This window comes from Homo sapiens, chromosome 3 (genome assembly GCF_000001405.40).
Source record: "Homo sapiens chromosome 3, GRCh38.p14 Primary Assembly".
Classification (NCBI taxonomy): Eukaryota; Metazoa; Chordata; class Mammalia; order Primates; family Hominidae; genus Homo; species Homo sapiens.
In genome coordinates, this window is record NC_000003.12 from 143,279,625 (window position 1) to 143,304,229 (window position 24,605).

The window sequence follows — 24,605 nt, forward strand, 5'->3', positions numbered from 1 at the left end:
CCATTGTTCAGCTCCCACTTATGAGTGAGAACATGCGGTGTTTGGTTTTCTGTTCCTATGTTAGTTTGCTGAGAATGATGCTGTTCAGCTTCATCCATGTCCCTGCAAAGGACATGAACTCATCCTTTTTTATGGCTGCGTAGTATTTCATGGTATATATGGGGCATTAGATTTTTAATGTCACCTTAGAGCAGCCTTTGTTTTTATTTAAGAAAAAAAACAGGGTCTTGCTCTGTCACTAGGCTGGAGTCCAGTGACAATCATGGCTCACTGCAGCCTCGACCTCCTGAGCTCAAGCAATCCTCCCCCCTCAGCCTCTCGAGTAGCTGGGACTACAGGCATGTGCCATGATACCCAGTGAATTTTTAATTTTTTTTGTAGGGACAGGGTTTTGTCATGTTGCCCAGGCTGGTCTCGAACTCCTGTGCTCAAGCAATTCTCCCGCCTTAGCCTCCCAAGGTGCTGGGATTATAGGCATGAGTCACCAGGGCCTGCCTAGAACTCCCCTTTCTTATGTTTGTTTCTCCGGTCCCTGGGTGTTCTTGAGGCCACCTTCTAACTTTCCCAAACTCTATGGACTCCTGGCCATTTAGCAAATTCGTTAGAATGCATGCCCTGCAGCTCTTTTAGGGAACAAAATGAATACACACACACTTCCCACCCCAGCAATGTTGACTGTAACCCATTGAGTTTGTTATACGAATCCAGGTATGTAACACTGGGTTATTTTTGAGCTATGGAATGAAGACTGTTCAGGAGACTTCAGAAACTTATTTTCTTTGAGCAGACACAAGGAGAGCCCTTTGTCTTTATAGGGTCACATGTCACAAATCTCTTCTCCTCCTAGACATACTTTTTTCCTCAGATGTAGTCCCTTTGAAGCCTTTTTAAAACATCTGGCCTCTACCTAGAACTACATTTTTTTTTTTTTTTTTTTTTTTGAGGTGGAGTTTCACTTGATTTTGCCCAGGCTGGCGAGTGCAGTGGTGCCATCTTGGCTCACTGCAACCTCTGCCCCCAAGTTCAAGCGATTCTCCTGCCTCAGCCTCCCCAGTAGCTAGAATTACAGGCTCCCGCTGCCATGCCCAGCTAATTTTTGTATTTTTTTAGTAGAGACAGGGTTTCACTATGTTGGACAGGCTGGTCTCGAACTCCTGACCTCAGGTGACCTGCCTGCCTTGGCCTCCCAAAGTGCTAGAATTACAGGCATGAGCTACCGCGCCTAGCCAGAAATACATTTTACAATTGTTACTTAGTACATGCCTCAACATTTTCTCAACCACACACATATAACTCTAAAATCCTTCTGTGATGCACTTAGATATATTCTGTTCCATTCCATTTGTCTTCTACTCTGTTTATACTGGACATTGCTAGCTAGTATCTGCCAATATCCAGCTCTCTTCTTTCAGGTGCCTGAAGTAGGTGCGGCTCTAGGACTAATTCTGGCCAATGTGCTATGGTTATAAAGGGATAGCATCACTTCTACACTGAAACACAGGAAGCCAGCAGGCTGACCCTCTCCCTGTTACAGTGACCCAGGGAGGCCTCCGGTGAAGGTGGTAAAGCCACAGATCAGAGCTGTTTGCATCACTAAGTTGCTACATGGAGGACATTTGCCCTAGAGAATCACCACATCCTTAGCAGCCTTTGAGAGAAAATAAAACTTTGCTTGATGAGCCACTAAGAGTTTAGAAATGTTTACCACAGTGTAGTCTAACCTATTCTAATACAGTATTCTATTTCATTAAAAAAAATGCTGGTTCTGAGTTACCTAAATGATTCCATGACCCATTATGGGTAGTCACATACAGTTTAAAAATCATTCTCCCACAGAATTGGCCACATCTGTAGCACCAAAGTGGAGACAGGGAGCACCACAGAAGACGGAGAGCACATACTAGCACTGCCTTCCCTCAGGGTCCCAACTCTTTGGGATGAGTTGACTTGAGGACTACACAGTGTGTGTGACTACAGAGAGTTAGATTGCAAATGCTTTGGCAGGGGAGGCAGCAGGGACTAGTCCAAAACTGAGTGGTGGACTTTAGATCAAGATTCAGGCCTCATGGATCCTGTGTTTTGTCAATAGGCCTATGTGCCTTGAGAATCCAGACTACAAGTGCATCCTACTTTTATTAAAAGAAACTGCAGTACAAAGGCATGATTGCTGCTACTTTGCTCAAGTGGTTGAGATCAGAGGCCTCCATCACGGTTACGTCCTTGCTAGATACTAGAACTGCACTGTCCTCCACTGATCCTGCCCCACTTACCTTTCCTATCTCATTCCCCACACCGTTTCACAAACTTTAGTTTCTGATAAAGGGGAATCAGGCTCAATGTCACTTATGTTTCACTATCTCTCTGGGCCTTTGCAAATGCTGTTCCCTCCATTTGGACAGCTTTTCCTTTCAGCTTGGCACTTGGAAATCCTAAATCCATTCAATATAGCTCTACTGTCATTGCCTGTGAAGTACTATTGATCTTTTAGTTACCACTCTCTTAGGACTTGTCACTCTCTCTTACATTCTAATTATTCAAGTACAGTTCTCTTCCTGTTGCACTTTGAACCAGAGTTGCTTCTCTTACCTTTATTCATGGTGGGGTTCCACATCAGCAATAACCACAACACATACCCCCCCAAACCCACAACCCACTCAGAAAAATAAGATTTACTAAGGTTGACCTGGAAGGCCTTTCTAGACTATTGAGTTTCCAATACCCACCAAATACTTTACAGACTTTTATCTTTGCATGTTTTGTTCCTATTACCAGAAATGTCCTTCTTCACTTTGTCTTTCTGGGAAGCCCCATTTATGCTTGAAGCCTGTTGCATAGATTGCTACTTACCTACTCAATATCCAGTCTCCCTCTCCTCCTTACAATATAAGCCTGAATCTATGGAGGTGTTCTATTTCCTCAGAATGGGTGGCCAATGAAATAGAAGTTCTTGAGTGGAATTCTAGAGAAGCCTCTCAGAGCATCAATTCTGCCCTTTCTGCCTTCCTGTCTGGAATTGTAATGGTAATGGACTCTCTGGAGCTCCAGCAGCCATTTTGGGCCCAAGAAGCAAACTTGAGGATAGAAGCTATATAAAAAGATAAAGAAGAAAGATAGGACTGTGGTGGCATCATGGAGCTCTGTTAACCATACATAGATTGTCTAATACCAGACTTCTTTTAGTGAGATTAAACACCACTATTTTCATTAATCCATGGTTATTTGGATTTTCCTGTTATACATAGTCAGACATAATCCTAATGGATACTGGATCCAGGACCCAATTCAAATAGTACCTCTTCTTTGTCACTATTCCTGTGACAAACACAGGAATTTCTTCACTGGGGTTTCCACAGACCTTTCTGTTTCCATTGATTATATCAGAATTATTTGACTATATATCTCCTCTCTTGTTAGACTGTGAGCTCCTTGAGGGAGGGGCAAGTCTCTTTCCTCTTTGTTTCCACAAATGCTTAATGCCCAGTAGGCAGAAATGAGTCTCCTCAATGTTTGTTGAATTGAGACTTGAAAGGGATTTAGGGCTTTATGTTAACATACAAATTCTTCTGGGAAAGGTATTATCTGAAACCTCCACCTTATTTTGGACTTAGTTGATAGTAATATAGTCAGGAAATGGCACAAGACGGTGGCCTTAGGGACAGGGGTGTAGGAGACGGGTGGGCACTGGGCTGGACACTGGAAGGAAAGGTGGGAAAAACAGCAGCCATGGATCTCAGCCTGTCTGGATTTCCCTAGGGCAGTTCTTGTTTGCCCTTATACTTTCCTGTATATACAATCTCACTCCCCCTGGAAAGCCCTAGAGGAGACTGCCTGCACTAGAAATGCTTTACATTGCCCTCCAGCCTCACTGAGAGGCAAAGCTGCTCTCCTGAGACTGGGTATCACAGATAACTGGCTCCTCAGGCATATCTGTGAGTCTCTCCTGCAAGCCCCAACCCTGTCCCCTTGGTCCTCCCAAACCACTTTGGAAGGGTGCGTCACTCTTGAGTTGCAAGATTAAATGAATGTGTGTTTGGATAAGATGGTTTCAGGCCCAAGATCAAAGCCTTCACTGGCTGAGGTCTAGACCCCTTTCAGAGTGAGTATAAAACCTCCCTTTGGGGTGAATTATGAGTGCAAACGGAAAGTCCTGCCCATATCCACCATATCAACACATCTTCTCAGGAGTAGAGCTCAGATGGCTCCTTGTAAACTGGCATGGCTGAGAAAATGGAAAGATGTACTTTCTATTAAAACCACTCAAGTTTTATTGGCACGAACAGGTATGATCCTTTGGTTAAATAAAACCACTAGAGAGCAAATTAAACCATGACTCATGATATGATCATTCTCTCCTTGTAAAAATAATGTTTTGGTAGTTTGTTGTGTGTCCACTTTAATAAATAGTTCCAGGACCTTTTTTTTTTTTTTAATTTGGTAAGTCACAGATCCAGATTTAAGCCAAACCCGTGGCAGGAGCTGTCCTGCTTGCCTTGCCACAGAAAAGCAAGAGAAAGCATCGAGTCGTTATACTATTTCACCCTCCTAAATCACACCTTCCATTTACTTACGATTATTTACCATTGCTTTGTAACTGTGAACAGGCAGCTGAGTGGAGCTGGAAGTCTATTCATTCTTTAAAGTGACATAAAGTGGCACTTGGAGTCCCAAATGATAATTGTTCTTTTCTCCTTGTTAATATCCAACTGCTGTTAGGAGTTCTGTGAAAGAAGATTCATTTAATGCCAGCTCCAGAAATTTCTGTGGGATTTGGCCCTTTCTATTTTTTTTTTTTTTTGAAACCAAATTTGAAATCACCCTCAGGAATTGGGAAGGCTGAATTGATTGTGACCTTCAGCCAGAATTCGTCTCTAAATATTTTAGCAGGATGGAGAATTTTCCCTCATTTATATCCCACTACTACCGTAGTGGCCATGGGTGGGAAGTATTCTAAAATATAATATAATATAATACCAGTTTCTAAAATATAATTTCTTTGTAGACATTTTTAACTCAACCTGAGTCTTAGGAAACTAGAATTTAGAAAGGAAACTGGATCTTATGAGATTTCCACTTCAACCTAATAGTACCTCAGTGTCTAAACATTCTCCTAATCATTTAAATACTTTTTCAAAAAACTTGAAGTCTTATGGGAACCAGCCTGCAATGCTGGGAGGGTCCCTGCTGTTCAGTCACGTGTTCAGGGGCTTCCCCTACCCCACAATGAAGTCGTCGTTTATGGGTAATCTTCCAAGCCCAGCAATACTTATGACAAAATGATACAGACAGCTCTATATGAAGTTTCAAATACCTTTGATATTCCTATTGATATATCACAAATGGGGCTAGGGAAGGTAAATATGTGCTGATATCAATGGTTCTTTCCACACTATTCCATCCATACTATGGATGAGCTCCTGCTATTCTTGTCCCCAAAGTCTATTCAACTCTCTGATGTTCTGGCTCAAAACTATACTATATATTTTTAAATCTAGGATACATGTGCAGAACGTCAGGTTTGTCACATAGGTACACACGTGCCATGGTGGTTTGCTGCTCCCATCAACCTGTCTTTTACATTAGGTATCTCTCCTAATGCTAGCCCTCTCCTAGCCCCCCACACCCCAACAGGCCCTGGTGTGTGATGTTCCCTGCCCTGTGTCCATGTGTTCTCATTAGAACTACACTATTAATGGTGTCTGGCATTTGTATTGGAAGCTCTGTGCTAAGTACTTTACATGAAAAATCTCCTTTAATCCTAGGAGATAGTTTTATCATTATCCTCATTTTATGGGTCTGGAAACTGAGGCATGGGGAGGCAAAGGAGCCAGCCATGGCTACATAAGTATGAAGTGGTGAAGCCAGGATGTGAACATAGGCTGCAGCACTGTAGTCTAACATGCCCCCTCTTTAACTCTGGAGCTCAGTGCAGCATGATCCCTTCCCTAGGCTTGAAAAGAGTTTACAGAGCCTCCTCTGAGAAAAGACCTCCACTTCTCTGCATTCTCTGAGGATGCTTCAGCAGCATCATACCTGAGGCTGTCAACCCAGTTGACAATAACTTGGGAGCTCAGTGGCATGATTCATGGGGCTCGGATTGGTTGGGAGCAGAACTAGCTGCAATTTGTTAGTAAAGATTTTCTATGGCGGGGAGGGGTTATTAGAGACTTCCATTTGCAATGGTTGCAGTGTTAATATTTTTGCCACAGGTGTCCAGGTTGTTTTAAGGAAAAAGAAGGGGAGAGGACCATGGAACAGGAGCTGAGAACTCTTTCTCCCTGCTTTCTATTAAAGTTTTGAGGAGGTTCTATTCATGAGCCGGGTGTTTTGAGCATTTTAGTAATTAGAATACAGTTGAGGAAGTATGGGATGTGGTTTATAAACCAGAGCCTAGGAAAGGCTGGAATATCAGGGTTAGTAATATGCCCAGAGCTGAAAGATTCTCTTCTCTTTCAACCAAAAAAAGGGAGGTCAAGGTCATGGAAAAGGTGATGGTTTTAGAGGCTGGGAAATTTTCATATTCCATATGCCATCTGCTGACTGAATGCTAGTTATTTTCTCCTAATTGGGCTTCCTTTTTCTGTTGCTGATTTTAAGAGTGCTTTCGAAGGAGGGTATATGTGTGCTCTGGAGGCAGTAGTGGTAGGAAGGGGTGGGGGTCTCAATAAACCTTCCCAGGACCTACTTGAGAGCTTTGGTAAAGCCTTGGGCTGGTGCACACAGACCTGATGGACATACAGGCTGTGACCTTCCTGCAGATTTGGAGAAGGCCAAGCCAAGCATTTCAGAGCTCCTTCTATTGGCTTTGCAGGGTCACAGGAGCCCGATGCCATTCAGAGCTCTTGGAATAAATCTGACATTCTGAAAGGAGTCCAAGGCATTCTCAGTACAGGCAGAGGCCAGGGTCTCCCAGATCATTCTTGTTTACTGCCTGGTGACATTCCTTCCAAATCCCAACCTGCCTTTCAGCTGGGGCCTCACAGAATGTTCTTGCTCAGACTAAAGCTGCCATTGTTTTGTGCTGTGGGGCTATGTTCTTTTCTGTTGATTCTTCCCAGTTTAGGGATGTGGCTCTAGATCTAGGTGGAGCTGGAAAGCAATCACACCAGATTTCAATGCCTGCAGATAACCCTCAGAATGGCATCTTCTGGTGCTTTCCCCAGGAAGCAAATAACTCAGATTAACACCAAACTTTTTAGCATAATACTTCCTAGTGTCTGACAGACTGTGAAACTGGTACCAGTGCAGGTCACCTTTGGGTCATGATAGCCCATGTCATTAGGAATCTTAAAGCAAAATGAGGCTCCACTAGTTCTGGACCTCACGAGGTGTGCGTCAGCAAAACTCTCCATGTCTCAGACCCTTCTCTGTCTCAGTACCTTGGTCACCACTGTCCCTACGTACCTTTTCCTCAGTAATTCAGAACTCAAAGCTTGGATTATCTGAGACACTTTCCCTCCTCCTTCCTTCTGGTCCCACTTGTGTGTGTGTGTGTGTGTGTGTGGAGCGGGGTGCAGAATAACTGCTGGCAAGTGGGGAAGGCCCAAGAATGCTCAGCAAGACAGCTCAAGATCTGCACTGACTGGGAGGAGGTAGCAAAAGCTGATAACATTCCCTATTTTGTAGTTTGAGCTTTGGCTTGGTAAGTTCACATCCTGGGTAAAGGTTTTGCTTTGCCAGTTTAGAAACTCACTAATAAAGCAAACTGATTTATTTGATGACTCGAAATAGTCTATTATGGGGTAGACATCAAAAAGTGCTATGGACAAGAAGGGAAAAAAAAACAACAACCAAATTCCTTTACCCCATCTTTATACTCTGGAAGTCTCCATTCCACTGCTTGCCTTTGGTAGCTTCTCTTATGATTCTGTCTCATTTGTATGATTCACAGGTTACTGAAGCTGAAAGAACCTGGAGCAGATCGTCCATTGTTCTGAGTTATTCTAGCAAATTCTGTTTCTTTGCCCACACAATGAAGGAGCTGACTATATAACTGTTCCCTTAGGGTTTGGAATAATTCCCAGTGCTGCTATTCATGAAGTCCAGTACAATTACTTTCCCATTTTCTGCTCAGCACCTTGTCCTTCAGTGCTAATGGAATAACAGTGAATTCATAGAATTGTTACACCTACAGACCTTCTCACTGTAATTAGGAATGGCCGGGGTGAAGAGGAGCATTCACATGAAGTGAACTGCAAAGGGGATTTTAGAGATTAAAAAATTTCTCAGAGATAAGCAATTTGATTTTTCAAGAAGGGCTCAAAATTACACCAACTGCTTACTTTCAGTATAACTAGGATGGTATTCTCCAGTAGATTCTGGTCTGTAGAGAAAAAAAGTCTTCCTGGAAAAAAAATTTAGGCTTTTGATCAATTTGTTTTTATTCAGAAAAGCTGAAGTGGAATTAATTTTAAATGTGGAGAACTGGTCATTGCTTCTACTGCTGACAATACTACAATAGGAAAAAATGGAACATTTCCTTCTGAACGGAATTGTAGTGAATTGAGAACTAAAGAGCTTATGGAAAATAGCCTTCAAATGATTATTTTTGTTTGCTTAAATGCTTGATTATGATGATTGTAATTTCAGCTATACATAGAGTATAGGGAAAAAAAAGCTAAGCCTGGGCTCCAGTTATTAAAAAAAAAAACAAAACAAAACCAAAGAACATATCACATTATAAAATCCAAATGCCCATAGGTTTCTTGGGACTGCTAAGTATAAATACGCAGCTCAGGTTCTACTTGTTCGCATTTTCGGGTCCAAGAGTTCTTTTAGGATCTCTTTAAAAGACTGCCCTTGGCCCTGGATCACTTTAACAACTTAGAAAGGAAACCTGAATTTTCTTGCTTTGTATACAAAGGCTGGTCCTCTGAATTACAAAAGGAAGACTTTGGGGGGCAAATAATACATCTTCAGCTGGCTCAGGTTCTAGACATTGGGCTCATTCTGGTCACTGACCCAGCTGGTTGTAGGTACGATGATTTCATGATTGCTATAGAGAGCAGATGCCTCCTCCTACAGCACCATCTACCAAGCAGAGCCCTATTGGCAGTGATGTTCCACAAAGACATTTTTCTTCTTTGCTTGGAAAGAGTAGGATCATTACAGAAATGTGGTCACTTTAATTTCTCAGACCATGATCAAGATGAATAATATTAATAAAACTTGAGGCCAAGGACATACAGCTAAAAATGGTCAGATAGAAGACTAGAGGACTTCAAATGACACTGGAAGATCCAAGGACTATCAAAGCAAGTTAAAGCTCTAATACCCTCTTACCTAAGGCAAAACAGATCCCATTGCCCCCTGCTTCCAGACTGTAAAATGCTCCCTGGTATGTCTGGTGCACAGGGAAGCAGTGGCAAGTGAACAGACATGGCTGGTGGTTGACTTAGGGAGCTTGTGAATGACTGAGAGCATCCACTGTCAGACTTTAAACCCATTTTAGCCTGAGGCAGGACTGAGACCACCTGATGACAGCTGAGCTGTCAGTGGTAGGGATGACAGGAGGCCAAGGGCTCTGTAATTAGCATGGGTGGGAGGGATGCTTACAGGGCCCTTGTCTACACCAGCTCTGTTGTGGGGCTAAACAGAGGAGCTTAGCATTGGAGGCTCAATTCACTGCCTCCCAAACAACAGCAGCCAGTGATTCATCGTGCCAGTAACAAGGCTGCTCCGGTACAGTTTGACTTGGCTTTTTGTTTCATTTAGTTTCAAGAATGTTTCTGAACCATTATTTTTTTAAATGTCCCTTTGTCTTTACCCTTCCAGCCCTGAAGCTCTGGCGAAGGCTAAGGACTCTCAGAGATGCAGCAAGAGCACTTTATATTTGTCCTGTCCAAAACGAAGCTCACTGTATCGCTTTCTCCCAGATCTGTTTCTCCCTCTCATGCCCCCTGTCTCATTGAACATGTCATCATCCACTTTCATGCTCAAGCATGGGTGCTACCTCCAACTCTTTCCTCTCCCTTCTGCACAACAGTCAATCCATCCATCAATAAGTTCTGTCTACTCCACCTGCCAAAGACCTCCCCTATCCATCTACCCATCTGTCCATCCATCTATTCATCCATCTACTCCCTTTATCCCACAGCTGCTGCCAGCACCCCTCCCTTAGGTGGCTGCAACCACCTTCTCACTGGTCTAGGGGCTCTGCTGATGGGGCCAGCTCCCTGCTCCACCTCCCCTCCCATTCATAGCCAGAGAGGTTCTTCTGCAATGCTGACCAGATCATGGGACTCCCTGCTTACAACACCATCAAAAGCTTCCTGTGGCCCTTAGAAGGAGTGTAAACTCCTTACCCTGAGACATGTCTCCTTCGTAACTGCATGTGTTGACTCCTCTCTCTGCTCATCATTTGTACTTGCTACTTCTTCCCCTTAGTGTGGACTTCACCACTGTCCCTAGCTATCTTATCCTCAGTAATTCAGAACTCAAGGGTCAGATGCTCTGAGAAACCTTCCCTGACCCTCCCTCCTATGGTCTTCTACAGCCTGCACCCAATATAACTCAGGGGGAGGAGGGAAACCATGTAATCTATTGTCAAAACTAGGACAGAGTTAAAGGGGGCACCTGTACATACTGTACATAAATAATAGGCATAAAATGGGATGGTCCAAGGCAAACCAGGATGTGTGGTCACTCCCTAATCATGGCATTTGTCACACCTGCCAGGCCTCCCCTACCTCACTTGGCAGACTGCAAGTTCCTTGATGACAGGGAATGACCAGTTTTTAATATAGTTGCTTCCATAGTTTATGTTCAATACATATTTGCTAAATAAGTGAGCACAGGGATGAATGTGGCTGAAACAACAGGAATCTGGTCACACATTCCCAGATTTGAGTCTGATGGGAAGCTACGTGTCTGTAAACACTGCCTGCAGGCCTCCATATCTCACAGAGCTAGGCCTTTTCTGTTTTCTCTCTGATACGCTGTCAGCCATCACACATAGCATAGAAAAAGGATACATCAGATTGCCTTGCTAACACCCCCCAAATTCTGAATTCCAAAGCACATCTGGCTGAAATAAAGCAGAAGAGTGGGTCCCAAAGTGTGTTCCATGGCAGACAACTACGTTAATAGATGTTAAATGGGTTCTGGGCCAAAATAAGTTATGAAAATTAAGCATCTTTCATTATTGCTGAGACCTTTCTAAACACTGTGAAAAAAACACTGTTCCTTAAATTTAGATCCAGCACCTATCCCCTGTATCTCCCAGACTTCATGTACTATGGAACCTACTTTGAGAATCAGTAAAATCATTTTGCCTGACACCTCTATGTAGGTGACAGCTTGGAGTCTTTCAAAGGCAGGGCCATGCTTTATCTCTTCCCAGTGCCTAGCAAAAGGACCTGACACACAGTTGATGCTCAAAAATGTTTGTTGCATATGGCCTGGAATGTTGTATGTTTAACTGAGGGCGGAAGTGCTTGGGATTGGGTGAAGCCACGCAACTCTGCCAGGCCAGCACTGCAGATGGCTTAGGAACAGGGAGGATTCTGACTGCCCAAAATGACATGGAGAATAGGGAAGTTGATAAAGCTCATCCTTCACATGCCGTCACCCTCCCTTTGAGCAGCACCCTCCTTGTCATCATCCCCTGTTCTGTCCCCACCTTCCCAGTGTCCACTCCCAGCTGATTTGGCTGTCAGTTTCTGCTCGTCGAAGTGCTAAGCCGATGAGACTTAGCCTCATCCAGCCACATTTCCCTTAGATGGTTCCTGCTGACTAAAACCTTTCCGGCCTCAAAGGAGAAGAGCTCAGGTGGTGGAAGGCCGGGAGGCAGGGTTTATTCTGAGTAGGACCTGCCCATGATACCCTCACATCATCTCTCACTCTACCCACTTGTGAGGCTGGCCTTAATCATATGCCAAAGCCATGGGTTCTGTCTCTCCACCCGAAGGGGACAGTCAGGGGGCCTCTCAGGTCAGCACTCAGAAAGGAGCAGGAAAAGGCTATTGGGCTGGAGACATCAGGAAAGGACAAACCCAACTTAAAATACCTAGTAATGGAGGGGAAAAAGATAACAATCAGAACTTAAATCCAGCTCCCATGGACCAGGTTTAAAAAGTCTGTCTTGAAAGATTTTTTGCAGCATCACTTTACTTTTAGTTTTTCTGTCTGAGGTGCCATTCCTTTTTCCAAATTGATTACATGTTACAGAATGACAAAACTCCATAAAGGTACAAGTGGAATTTCCTCCTTTTCCAATGTCCCTTTTCTGTTTTAAAAAGAGGAGCAAAGTCAGGAAATGCCACAGTGAAATTTTGCAGCTGAGCCAATACGAGTTTTAAATAAGTCCAGCTGGAGGGGCTCTCACCCTACACCTCTGCTCTAAGCCAGTGGGGATGGGCCCGAGAGGAATCCCCCATATAGCCCTGTGCTCTGAAAAAGAAGAGCCATTCTCTGGGCTTGTCCTGGTCTAACCTGCTACTCCAGCTGGATGAGTGGCCATGAGCCAGGAGCTTTAGAACCAGCAGAAGCCTCTCCATTGAGCTTGTGGGATGAGGACACAGAGCCAGAGGCCTTACATTTGGCATAGAAGCCCCTCGCTGGGTGCTGACATGGTGCTTGGCTACCATGGGACAAATAATGATAATGTGTGTAGCCTCATATTACTTCAGGTCAGGTTTGACCTCCAAGCAATTCCAGCTCCAGTCAGATTTGGCATGAAATGAATTATGAAACACTTTTGGTTTTCAGGACTGTTTGGATTTCTGAACTACAGATAACAGCTTGTGGACTTACACTACTATTTCCATTGTACAGATGAATAAATTGAGTATCAGAAGAGTTAGGGAATTTGCCTTGGTGCATACAGCTGAGATCTGAACCCAAATCGGCCTAGATTCAGAGCCCATGTTTTTTTCGCGATGTCCTATATCCTGTTACCTCTTGACCACACTGAGGTCCTCTACTCTCCTGTGTTTGCTGAGCAGCCCCTGTAGCTGGAGGTTGTCCTAGAGCTATAAAACGAGGTGTGTGGATTAGAGAATCCCTTCCTATGGTAATAGGAAGGTCCCTCATAATGATATGAGGTCCCTTCCCAACCTCATTTCCATAATGCTATGCAAACATGTATTATACTCTCTAAGATGGGCTCACAGCTGTGTGGACACCTCGGAAGAGAGATATGACCCTTTAAGGATCTCTTGCAAAATGTAGGACCTTGGTGCCTTTTGGACCAAGTGGCATATATGATCCCCGATCCCTCTGCACGTTGATGACACTGTTCTGGCTGTAGCGTAGGTGGTCTTAACTGAGACACATGCCTGGGGCTGGTTAATGCTGCCGCTGCTGGGGGAAATAAGAAAGACACTAATTACACTAAGGCTCTTATTTCTCTTTTACTGGGGAGTTGGGGCAGGGCAGTAAGGAGAGAGGGTTGTCCTTTAAATTAGAGCATGTGTAGGTATAAATCTTTCTCCCATCTATCTTTATTTTGGAGTGTGTTTAAGGTTACGCATTATATGCATTCCTCTCCCTATATACCTCTATGCTTATATCAATTCATAAATAAAATATACAGCTGCTCAGCTGAAATGTATCACTTGTCTGCAAGATTCCTCCTGCAGGTTAACATCTCCTGCCAGGGGAGCTGCCCCGGTTTTCAGTGACTTTCAATGACCTACTTGTATGCATTGGTTCAGGCAGGGCTTAATAAGTGGCCTGGCAGATACGTGCGTCTGCATGTATTCTTCATTCTTTATTTTAGTATTATATGGCTTTCTTCAGCCAAAAATCAATATTGTGTACATAAAGTTAGCTTTGCAATCATACCTTTTCCTATGAAACCTGATATGAACAGAAATTTTTGGAAATGGCTGGGCAGGAGAGACTAATTCATACTGTTTATCATTCCATGGCTGTTTTGATATTGTCATAATTGGCATTTTCCCTATAATTGCCCTCAGTATTGCCAGTACTTATAGGAAAGAGGACTTTCAAAATGAAATACACCTGAGGACTGGGTATTATTGTGGAAGTTCACTTTCTGTTGAATATGATCTGGGATTGAGTTTGGAGACTGAATTTTAGCATGTTACTGTCAATCACAGCTTATCTGGGTCTTATTTGGCCTGGAATTGGAAATTCTTGAATAACGTGACACTCAAGCATTGGGTAGTCTCAGAGTCAAAAGCTGGTTTAATCACTATGATCAGATTTTAAAATAAGAATACTACAGTATTTACTAATACTGAAGAATCCCATCTTTTAGCAAAAGTCAATGTTTTGAATGTCTCTGTAACCCTTGCAGAAAGTATTCATTGTTAAAACCAAGCATTGAATTAGGAACCAGCGTTAAAAAAATAAATCTCATACACATCTATAAAAACAAATAGAACAAATACAATGAGATAATAAAAAATAAATTCATGTAAAATTTTGTAGAATATACTGAGCCCTAAGTCAAGCACTTGGTGCACTGAGAATAATTCTTTTTCTTATAAAGTAAATTACAAAAAGTTGGATAAAAAAATCAATGGACTATTATTTAGGTTCCATTTAATCTAGGTGCTTTAATAATGTCTTTCTGGCCAAATACAGTATTGATTTTTTATTGTTGTGGGATTCACTTAACCTCAAATAAAACTAAACGAAACTAAACCCAAATCGCCTACTCTTTCTTGCAATTGTTGTTTACAGCACGAAAGCACACACTGAATTTAGGCAACTGAGGGAGGAAGGGGGAGCGGTTTAGGAGCCTTGGTTTCTGTCTGCTTTCAACTGACAGCAACACCTTTAGTAGGGCAAAGCTAAAGTCCTTACAGTGCATTTTCAAATCTTGACAAGGCAAGGCACTCAATACGTATGCAACAAGGCAGCATAGAAATCTATTAAAAGAGCCTGCTTCAGACAAAATGAGAAGTTCCAGTTTCTATTTTACATTAACTTGGTGAGGAAATCAACTGGATCCTAAATTAGCTATCCAAATAATGCAAGAAAATACATTTATAGACAAAGGAGGGCCTGGAGGGGTAGAGGGTAGGCAGTGGCAACCACTAGGGGTTTGAGCCAGCTCCCTCTGATAGGCCTTGTGTATGATAACTTCTAATAATTGCCCCTTTTAAATCTTACTTCCACTGAAATTCCCAAGTCAGTGTTGCCATTTTGCAGATGAAAGAACTGAGTGGTTAAATTACTTGCTTAAGGTCACACAGCTCAGGACTGGGATTCCAACCTTGATGTGTCAACATGCAGGTTCTTTCTACACATAGCCCAGGCAATAAATAGGATTATGTGTAAAATAACATTATCATGAGGATTAATATTTATAATTTCAATTAATGCTTATGACACAAAATTTTTATCTGCAAAATGAAGAGCCTGATCAGAAGATCACTGAGGGTCCTAAATGATCTTATTTAATGATTTGGCATTAGTGATTTAGAAAAAGCTGATGTTACCTCTGGCATGCCCATGAGCTGAATCTGGTTTGCAGATTAGTTTTGTTTTTCCTGCCTGATGTTTAAGATTGTTTTGACAAAAAGTTAAAATAAACAGGAGAGTTTATGTAAAAATCTGACTTCCAGTTTTTCCTGACAGATCAACTGAGACTGCACTCTTAAAAGGTAAGAGTGAGTTCTGAGTAGCAACAATTCACTTTAGATGTCTGCAATTCTCCCCTTTGCCATGGTTCCCATTAATCCTTACTACACTCTGTTACTTGTTTCTTTTCTCTTTCTCAAAGTTATTTGCATGACTTCCTTGCCCTGTAGGCATTTTGAGGTGGCTTTCCTGATGCAGACAGCAGTAAAAGCTACTAGAAGAGACTTGCATTCAAGAACGTGCCGTTCCAGTAATCAGGTCTATGATCTTGGGCTAGCGCATTAACCACTCTGAACCTGATTCCTCTTTTGTTATTAATACATGGGAACAAGAATGGTGTGGAGATGATTAAATAGTCCATGAGGTTATACTCAGTAGATGTTAACTGACTCTGAGACATTCTTAGAAAAACATTTCTTAAAGAAAGGTTGCCCCTATCACGAACCCACAGAGGATGTCATTAACTGACAATGAGCCTTCAACCTCTCATATCCATCCTCATAGCTAACCTTTATCATCACCTACACCCTCTTGTAGGTCATTTCTCCCTTCTTTCCTTCCCTCTCTTTCACTTGGCTGAGTGACTTTTAATTGTGCTTTCAGACCATTTCCAATATACCTGTAATTACATGGCAACATCTTTTCATAATACACAGTGGAACAAGTGAGCAGAAGTATGCAAAGTCTCCTGCTCTCCCCTTAACAGCCTTTCACACAGCTGCTCATGGCACCCCTCCCTTTCAGAAATGAGGGCCCCCATACTTTCTGGTATTGTGGATCTTTCCTGCTTCCTTTTCTTATCACTCCTGTTTAAAGTGCCTGCAATAGTTAATAATGTGGCATTGCCCATCAGAGCTGGATAACTTTTTTCTTGAATTAATTATTTTGGTAAGGATTCTTAACAGGAGGCCTACCCTCTTCACAAATCTTAAGTGCATAATAATAGTATTGTTAACTGTAGACACAATGATGAATGATGAGTAGATTTCCTAGATACTATTCATCTTGTGTAACTGAAGCTATGCCAATTAAATAGCAACTTCCCATTTCTCCCTCCCTAGCCTCTGGAAACCACTATTCTCTCTTTTTCTGTGAGTTTAATTATTTTGGATACCTCATGTAAGTGGAACCATGCAGTATTTGTCCTTTTGTGACTGGCTTATATGACTTAGTGTAATGTCCTCCAGGTTCATTCTTGTTGCCCCATATGGGAAGATTTTCTTCTTTTTTAAGGCTGAATAATATTGCATTGTATGTATATGCCTCATTTTCTTTATCCATTGATCCACTGATGGACACAGCTCAATTTTATGCTTTGGCTATTGTGAATAATGCTGCAATGAACATGGGATGCAAATATCTTTTGGAAATTCTGCTTTCAATTCTTTTGGGTATATACCCAGAAGTGGGATTGCTAGATCATATGGTAGTTCTGTTTTCCATAGCATCCGCACCATTTTACATTCTCACCAACACTGTACAAGGGTTACAATTTTTCCACATTCTTACCAACACTGGTTATCTTTCTCTCTTTTTTATAATAGCCATCCTACCTGCTGTGAGGTGATATCTTATTGTGGTTTTGATATGACTTTCCCTGATTATTAGTGATGTTGAGCATTTTTTTTATATACCTGTTGGTCATCTGTACGTCTTCTTCAGAGAAATATCAAGTCCTTTGCCCATTTTTAAATTGGGTGTTTTTTGGCTATTGAGTTGTAGGAGTTCCTTATATATTTTGTATATTTGCCCTTTATCAGATACATAGTTTGCAAATATTTTCTTCCATTCTACAGGTTGTCTTTTCCCTCTGATTGTTTCCTTTACATGCAGAAGCCTTTGACTGTGATATAGTCCCACTTGCCTATTTTTACTTTTGTTGCTTTTACTTCTGGTGTCATATCCAAGAAATCACTCTCTAAACAAATGTCATGAAAATATCTCCCTATATTTTTTCCTAGGAGTTTTACAGTTTCAGGTCTGAATTTAAATCTTTATTTTGAGTTGATTTTTGTGTGTGTGTGGTGTAGGGATCTGACTTCATTGTTTCACTTGTGGATATAAGCTTTCCCAGTGCTATTCATTAAAGAGTGTCTTCTTTCCCCATTGTGGGTTTTGGCACAATTGTCAGAGATTAGTTGACTGTATATACATGGTTTTCTTGTGTGAAAACATATAGGCCAACGGAGCAGAAGCTCTCTATTTTGGTCCATTTGTTTGTCTATTTTTATGCCAGCATCATACTGTCTTAATTGCTCTAGCTTTGTAGTATAATTTGAAATCAGGAAGTGTGATGTCTCCAGTTTTTTTCTTTTTCCTCCAGATAGCTTTGGCTATTCTTGGTCTTTTGTGGTTCCATATGAATTTTGGGATTGCCTTTTCTATTTTTGTAAAAAATGCCGTTGGAATTTTACTTTGCTAGTATGGACATATTAGCAATATTAAGTCTTCTAATTCATAAACACAGCATGTGTTTCCATTTGTGTCTTTTAATTTCTTTCATCAACGTTTTATAGTTTTCAATGTATAAATCTTTCACCTGCTTGTTTAAGTTTATGCCTAAGTATTTTTTGATGCCATTATAAATGAAATTAATTTTCTTTTTGTCTATTTTGTTGTCGTATAGAAACACAACTGATTTTTATATCCTGTAACTTTATTGAATTCCTTCTTGACTTTAAGAGTCAGCCATGATTGTGATGTATGTGCCTGGAAAAAGCAGTGGGAGTAGACCTTGGAATCCTAGTAGTGACAAGTAAATGGTAACCGTTGGGTTGGATGCAGGTTTGCAAGGAATCTCAGGCCTAACTTAACCTCAAACAAGAGGGAAAAAAATCACCCATGGAGGCCCTTACAGAAAAACTGAGTTGCATTTTGTCAAGGCAAAGAATGGCTTTTTTATTGCATGAATGAGAAAGGCTAAGACAAGATTTTTACTTTCCCTGTTGAGTTCTACATTAGGTTTAGCCATTTGGAACTAGTGGAAGGGCTTCCCCCCACGTTGATGTTCAGGTTAGCCACTGTGTATCCATTCCGTGGATGAAGATGGTGATTGGGAATTGGGTGTTTAGAGGTTGTACTGGGGCACACAGACAGGGAAGGAAGCCCATATAGATCTGCAACCTAGCCCATGTAGAACCTCAACCAGGTGTCCATCTCTGCCTATGATTGAGTGAGCCAGTGACCGTTTTGTTCTCCTTGTTGGATCATAGTCCAGAGCCTTGATGCATTTAGTGGCATGAACACAAGCTCTTACTGGGGAGGATGTGGCTCACTAGTACTATCTTCATTTCCCAAGTCTGAGGTGTGGCAAATACATTCCCTAGTCTTCTAAAAACCAAAGCTCAAGGCTGCTCAGTAGGGCATTGGCAATGCTAGACCTGCTGCCTTGGAACAGATGCTGCTGGTTAAGAATAGATTTCTAAGTGTTTCAGGATGCTCAAGTATAGCTGAACTATTTCACTTTTCATGGCTGGTCTATTCTTATACTTTGAGAGCAGCTTCCACAGTGAAGTGAGAACACAGAACATAACAGCACAGGACCTTTCCCAAAGACAAAGAAGATTATTGAGTTAGGCATCCCTGGGGCTTTGAGTAGGCAGATCTCTTATGAAAGCTTGCTCTGGGATTTCTGGAATCCAATCATTCTAGATAGTATGTGTCTTAAACTTTTTACCTTTTCTGCTGGAGGGAAAAGAATGTAGGTGTACAGGCTATGGAACAAATCCTGAGGCCACCATTGAGTTTGTGATCTTATTCAAGTCATTTCATCTTCCTGGGTCTTAGTTTCCTCACTTCTCAGAGATCATTGTATTAAATGCAGTGATGGGTGAACAAGGTATGTACGCCTGTATTATTGTATGCTCGGTTCCTGGCATACAGTGGGTGCTCAAGAAATGTCAGTTCTCCTTTCTCTTTCTGATGTTCACATTTTTACTGCCCAAGCAGGAAGTGGGTTGAAAATGTGGAAAGAGCATTTAAAATTTTATCTGTTAGCCATCATTTACTTTCTTCTTCCCAGAACATTACAGCTCTTTCCTAAAGGGTAAAAAAAAAGGCCCTAAGAAGATTAAAACCAGCATGTAAATTTCAGCTTAGTTCAAAGCTAAGCCCCTTAAGAAACCTTTATTTGCAGAGCAGCTCTGTATAGGAGCTCTGAGCAAGCGCAGGGCCATCTGGGGCTGCTTGCTTTAATGGACTGGTTCTCAAACTGGCAACCATCAGATTCACTTGGAGAGCTTGTTAAAAAGCTTGTTGGGGGGACCTACACATTTTTTTTTTTTTTGAGTTGGAGTCTTGCTCTGTCGCCCAGGTTGGAGTGCAGTGGTGTTTTCTTGGCTCACTGCAACCTCCGCCTCCTGGGTTCATGCCATTCTCCTGCCTCAGCCTCCCCAGTAGCTGGGACTACAGGTGCCTGCCACCTCATCTGGCTAATTTTTTGTATTTTTAGTAGAGATGGGGTTTCACCGTGTTAGCCAGGATGGTCTCGATCTCCTGACCTCTTGATCCGCCTGCCTTGGCCTCCCAAAGTGCTGGGATTACAGGCGTGAGCCACCACGTCCTGCCACACATTTTTATTCCTTACAAGTTTCCAGATGATACAAAGCTCCTGGTTATGGGCCCATACTTTGGAACCACTGCTTAGTGGGAGGAGGCATGCAGGCAGTTGGGACCCCTGGGTTCTGAGCCTTATCCTGGCTTTAAAGAGCTAGATGACCTCAGGTAGGTCACTTAAACTTTAGAAGACACAGTTTCTCTTTTGTCCAACAATTGGCAAAATGTATGATTTGGAAAAAGCATAATTTAGAGCAGAGATCGCTAATCTTTTCTCTATAGTGGGTGGCCATCCCAGACTCTATGTGAGGGCTGAGGGGAACAAATGTCTTGGCACTTGTAGCCCATTTGGAATGTTTGGCACACAGGTTGAGAAAGTCTGACTGAGTGGTTAAAAGCGTGTGCTTTTAAGTCCTGGAAGCATTAGTGTAAGTCCTCACTTTGCCTCTCCAGGTGGTATTTTAGCTGTTTCACCTAGGTCTGAGCCTCAGTTTGGTCATCTGTGAAAAGGGACAGAGTATTTGCACCTCTATCATAGGGTTGTGGTGAATATCAAGAGAGAATGCATGTAGAGCACTTGACATGCATATTAATTCTTATTAGCTGTTTTTATTTCTACTTCTAAAATTCTGTGATTTGCCCTCCTGCCCATTCTGCACCTCATTGGAAGAAGCAGATAAACCTCTTCAGTGTTTGGAAATGTATAAACTTTTTTAGGGGGAGTGAGGAGTGCTTTAAAGGAGTGCTTCTCAATGTTTAAAATGCATTCAGATGCCTGGGGATGTTGTTATAATAAAATGCAGATTCTGATTCAGTAGGCCTGGGGTGGGGCCTGAGATTCTGCATTTCTAAGCAGCTCTCAGGTGATGCCTATGCTCCTGATCCACAGAGCTATGCTATGAGTAAGGCTATGCTTTGAGCAATGGCTCTTAAACTCTATTGTACATCAGAATCTTTGGAGGGAACTTTTAAAAGCCCGGAGTCTGATTTGGTACAGGGTGAGGCCTGAGCATCAGGTTTTTTAAAAGTTTCTCAGCAGCCAAGTTGGAGTACCACTCTTTAAAGCACTCTTTAGTAAAACACAGGGAAAAGTTGAATTGATTTGTGTTCCAGAAGCTGGAAGTAATTAATTTCCCTTCAAATAGGTCCCCTTTTCCCTAGGAGATTTGCAGATTTGCACTGAACTATGGCCAAAATAAGAACCTTTTAAACCTTTATTTTAAAGGCAAAAACCTGTTTAACATCTGCATTCAGGAAGCTTTGTGGTCCAGTAGCTCAGAAATAGGCCCAGGAGAAACAGCATTCAGCCCCTAATCCTCACCACTACCACCTTCACCATGACCTTGGGAAATCTTTTCATGTGTATGTTTCCATATTTTCTCATTTGCAAAACTTGGCTAATCCTGCAGAACGGCCACAGGATGTGTGTATGGTCAGATGCAGCTTTAAAATCACTCCTGCTGCCCATCTCCCAAATTGTTCTGATTTGCTTACTAAATTTTGACATTTGCGCAAAATGCATACTTTGTAAGTCTTGGAAGTTGGTAATATTCAAACTATAGTCTTCTATCTCTCTCCCTCTTTTAATAGTACCAACTGCTTCCTCTTCTATTCACACATAGTTTAAGTTTAATGCACCCCAGAGCTGCAGAGAAATCAGCAAGAGGGCGGAAATGATTTTTTAAAAGCTGTGGCATGAAGATTGGCCTTGCAGGATTAGCCTTTTTCTTGGCCCTCTAGTGGAAAAGTCCACCTATACTTGAGGGTGGAGGTCATGCAGACAAAAAGCCTTCAGTAGGCAAGAGTAGAATGGAATAGCTGGGTGTTAGGGCCATCCTCTGCAGAAGATGAGACAGACGCATTCTCCAGCAGCAGTCCTTAAATGTTGGTGTGTATCAGAATCACCTGGGGATCTAGTGGAGCCCACAGTGACTCAGGCCTTTGAAGTAGTATAGGGCACAGTCCCTGTGTTTTTGCAGCTTCCCCTAGTGATTCTGACACTGACCAAAGTGTGAGAACCACTGTCCTAGAGTGTTCCGCTTTCCCTTGGTGTTTTTCAGTTAGTGTCTTCCCAACCACATTTCTAAGCCCACCCAAAGCTGAAAAGCTTTCTTTTTCTGGTGTGCAAAATACTAGTTGTATATGTTAATTTTCAAGCCACTCTTAATGTCAGTGGAGGTGTTTTTTATGAAACCAGGAGGGGCCAACCCTTGCAGAACTGCAGAGTGGAAATAAAAGAGGTTCAGAATCCTCATTATCTCAACTTGTCCTCCTTCACCCTAGGAAGAGTGAGAGGGTTGGGGAGAGAGGTGTTGCTAGCTGCTGGCCTGGTATATCTTACCTGGCACCTCTGCTAGGGGCTTTAAGACAGTGTTGTCCCACCTTTGTCACAGCGGGCCAGGAATCTTTTGCAACTCTGGATTGTGATGCAGAGGATGAGGAGCACGTTGCCTTGAGCATTAAAGCTATGGTGGGTGGGGGATGCTGGAGGCATCAGCCCCCATTTCCTCTGGATGATTGCCCTAGTATATACAGGCAATAGGCTTATACATCTTTTCTTCACTAGCACTCAGCATACTGCCCAGAATACAGTAGGTGCTTAATGAATGCTTGTCTAAAAAGATGGAAAATCGGGTAGCAGAGAAGAACCAAAAGATGCCAGAAAATAGAAAGAAAAAAACATTGAAGGTGAAAATGAGGTGTTTGTATTAATAAATATTAAGAGGAATGAATTAAAGGGCTGAAAAAGCCCAAGAAAGGAGATGCAGGAAAGGCTGGGAGTCCTGAATGAGGTTTGTGTGGAGTGGCGGGGAGGAGGAGAGAGCCCCTGAAACAGCCAGATAAGAAGGAAAAATAGCAGGAGGGAAGGAAATAAGAGCAGTGATGGAGGGACAGAGGAAAGCAGTAAAGAGCCAGGAAGATGGCGAGAGGGAGAGCTGGCAGAAAGGACAGATCCTCCAACCAGCCAGCAGGTTTGGTCTTATTCCTTACTGGGAACAGACAGAATGACTGCGTTTGACGAGGAGTGACTCAGGCTCAAGACAGGCAGAACTGGAGGATAAAGCCAGATGGGTACAAGTGAAGTGGGTCACTGTCAAGAATCATCACGTTTTCTGGAATTCGATGTTTTCAAATTGCATAATCCTCCTTGTTCTCAATTATCCTCCACAAGAGTGTGGAGTCCCTCCCACGTTACAAGTCCATCTCAGTTAAGCCCCAGACATGCACTTCTAACACCACGGAGGGCTTCTTGGCAGCCTTCCCTGCCCGCCCTCTCCACATCGTGCCCTTCCCCTGCAGAGGGACAACTGGCTCTCCAGGCATTTCCCTTCCGGACTTCCAGTGTGACACACACGCTCTGGCTGCTTTCCTGTCCCCAAAGACTCTTACTCCTCCAGGGCCACTGCCAGCCTAGTCACAGCCTTTGTACAAATTAGAGAGGCCCACCTGGATCATGGGCAGATGAGAACAAGGCACAGTCTGAGACTCAAAGAAGTAGCTGTGTGTTTGTGTTGGGGCTGGGGAGGGGTGTGTAGAGGAGTGTTCAGGGAAAGTTTCAAATAGAAAGTGATATCTGAACTGAGTTTCCAAAGGGGAACAAATGTTTTTCCTGTTCCAGGTGGGTTTTTTTCTTTTTCTTTTCTTTTTTTTTTTTTGAGGGAAGGAGGGAAGGAGGCAAGGCCTCTTGGGGGCTGGAACAGCATGTGCAAAGGAGCAGAGGTGTGAAACAGCATGCTATCCAATATTGCTGGTGTGTTCTTGCATGAGAGGCAGCAAGAGGAGGACTAAGTGATGAGAATGAGGTTAGACTAGGTAGGAAGGGCCAGGTGTCTGGTTTTAAGCAAGGGAAAGACACAGTGAGACTTGCATTTGAGGATGATTACTTTGGAAAGATATTATTTGCTTTTTACATATGAGCATACTAAACCTCAGAGAGGTATTTATAAGTGACCTGCTTCATGTGACACACTTAATAGCGGAACTAGAACTTGACTCCACCTTGTGCTAAACCAGGGTCTCCTTACCTACACTTCAGGTCTGGATGACCTCTGAGATTTCCCTTGCAAAACTTGCCAGGCCCATTTGACTCCTCCCAAAAGCCAAAAAAGACTTAGATTCAGGCCGGCAGAGGCACTGCCCTTGGTCCCCTAAAAAGATGACTTAAAACATCTGTTTTCTCCATTTCTTAACAGAGGAACTTTATTCATTCCAGGTTAGTCTTTAGAAAGCAAAACCAAAATACTCCACTGGACATTTACTGGCACAGATTTCCAGAAAACATATATATACTGAATGGGGGAAAGAGGATGAAGAGGTCTCTTAGACCTTTGTGGGAAGATGGCAACTAGAGTCACTTCTTAGTCACCCACTGGAATGGTGGATAAGTCAAATTGTATCCATTGTTTTGGGTCTCTTCCTGCCACATAACTTCATAATAGGTCTGCTTATGATAAAAATGCAATTATTTCAGTATTTCTCCTTTTTCTGCCTCTCATACA

At 42.5% G+C, this 24,605-nt stretch overlaps 1 protein-coding gene across 4 annotated transcripts in view, besides 1 other annotated feature; it reads right to left on the reverse strand.

Moving 5' to 3' along the window:
* Positions 1-24,605, reverse strand: part of SLC9A9 (solute carrier family 9 member A9) — a 583,247-nt gene that overhangs the window by 14,403 nt on the left and 544,239 nt on the right. The window contains exon 15 of one of the 4 annotated variants that reach the window (XM_017006202.3): positions 432-4,718. The exons of the other annotated variants lie outside the window; for them this stretch is intronic. Within the exon in view, the coding sequence (XP_016861691.1) occupies positions 4,693-4,718 (26 nt within the window). The 3' untranslated portion in view covers positions 432-4,692. Of the gene's footprint in view, positions 1-431; positions 4,719-24,605 lie in introns of those variants that run through there. 4 annotated transcript variants of the gene reach the window in all.
* Positions 14,948-15,007: an enhancer, noted in NCBI's record as "active region_20653". NCBI's record gives its function as "activates an Ori minimal core promoter by ATAC-STARR-seq in GM12878 lymphoblastoid cells {active_cell/tissue: GM12878}" and the evidence as "EXISTENCE:reporter gene assay evidence [ECO:0000049][PMID:35858748]".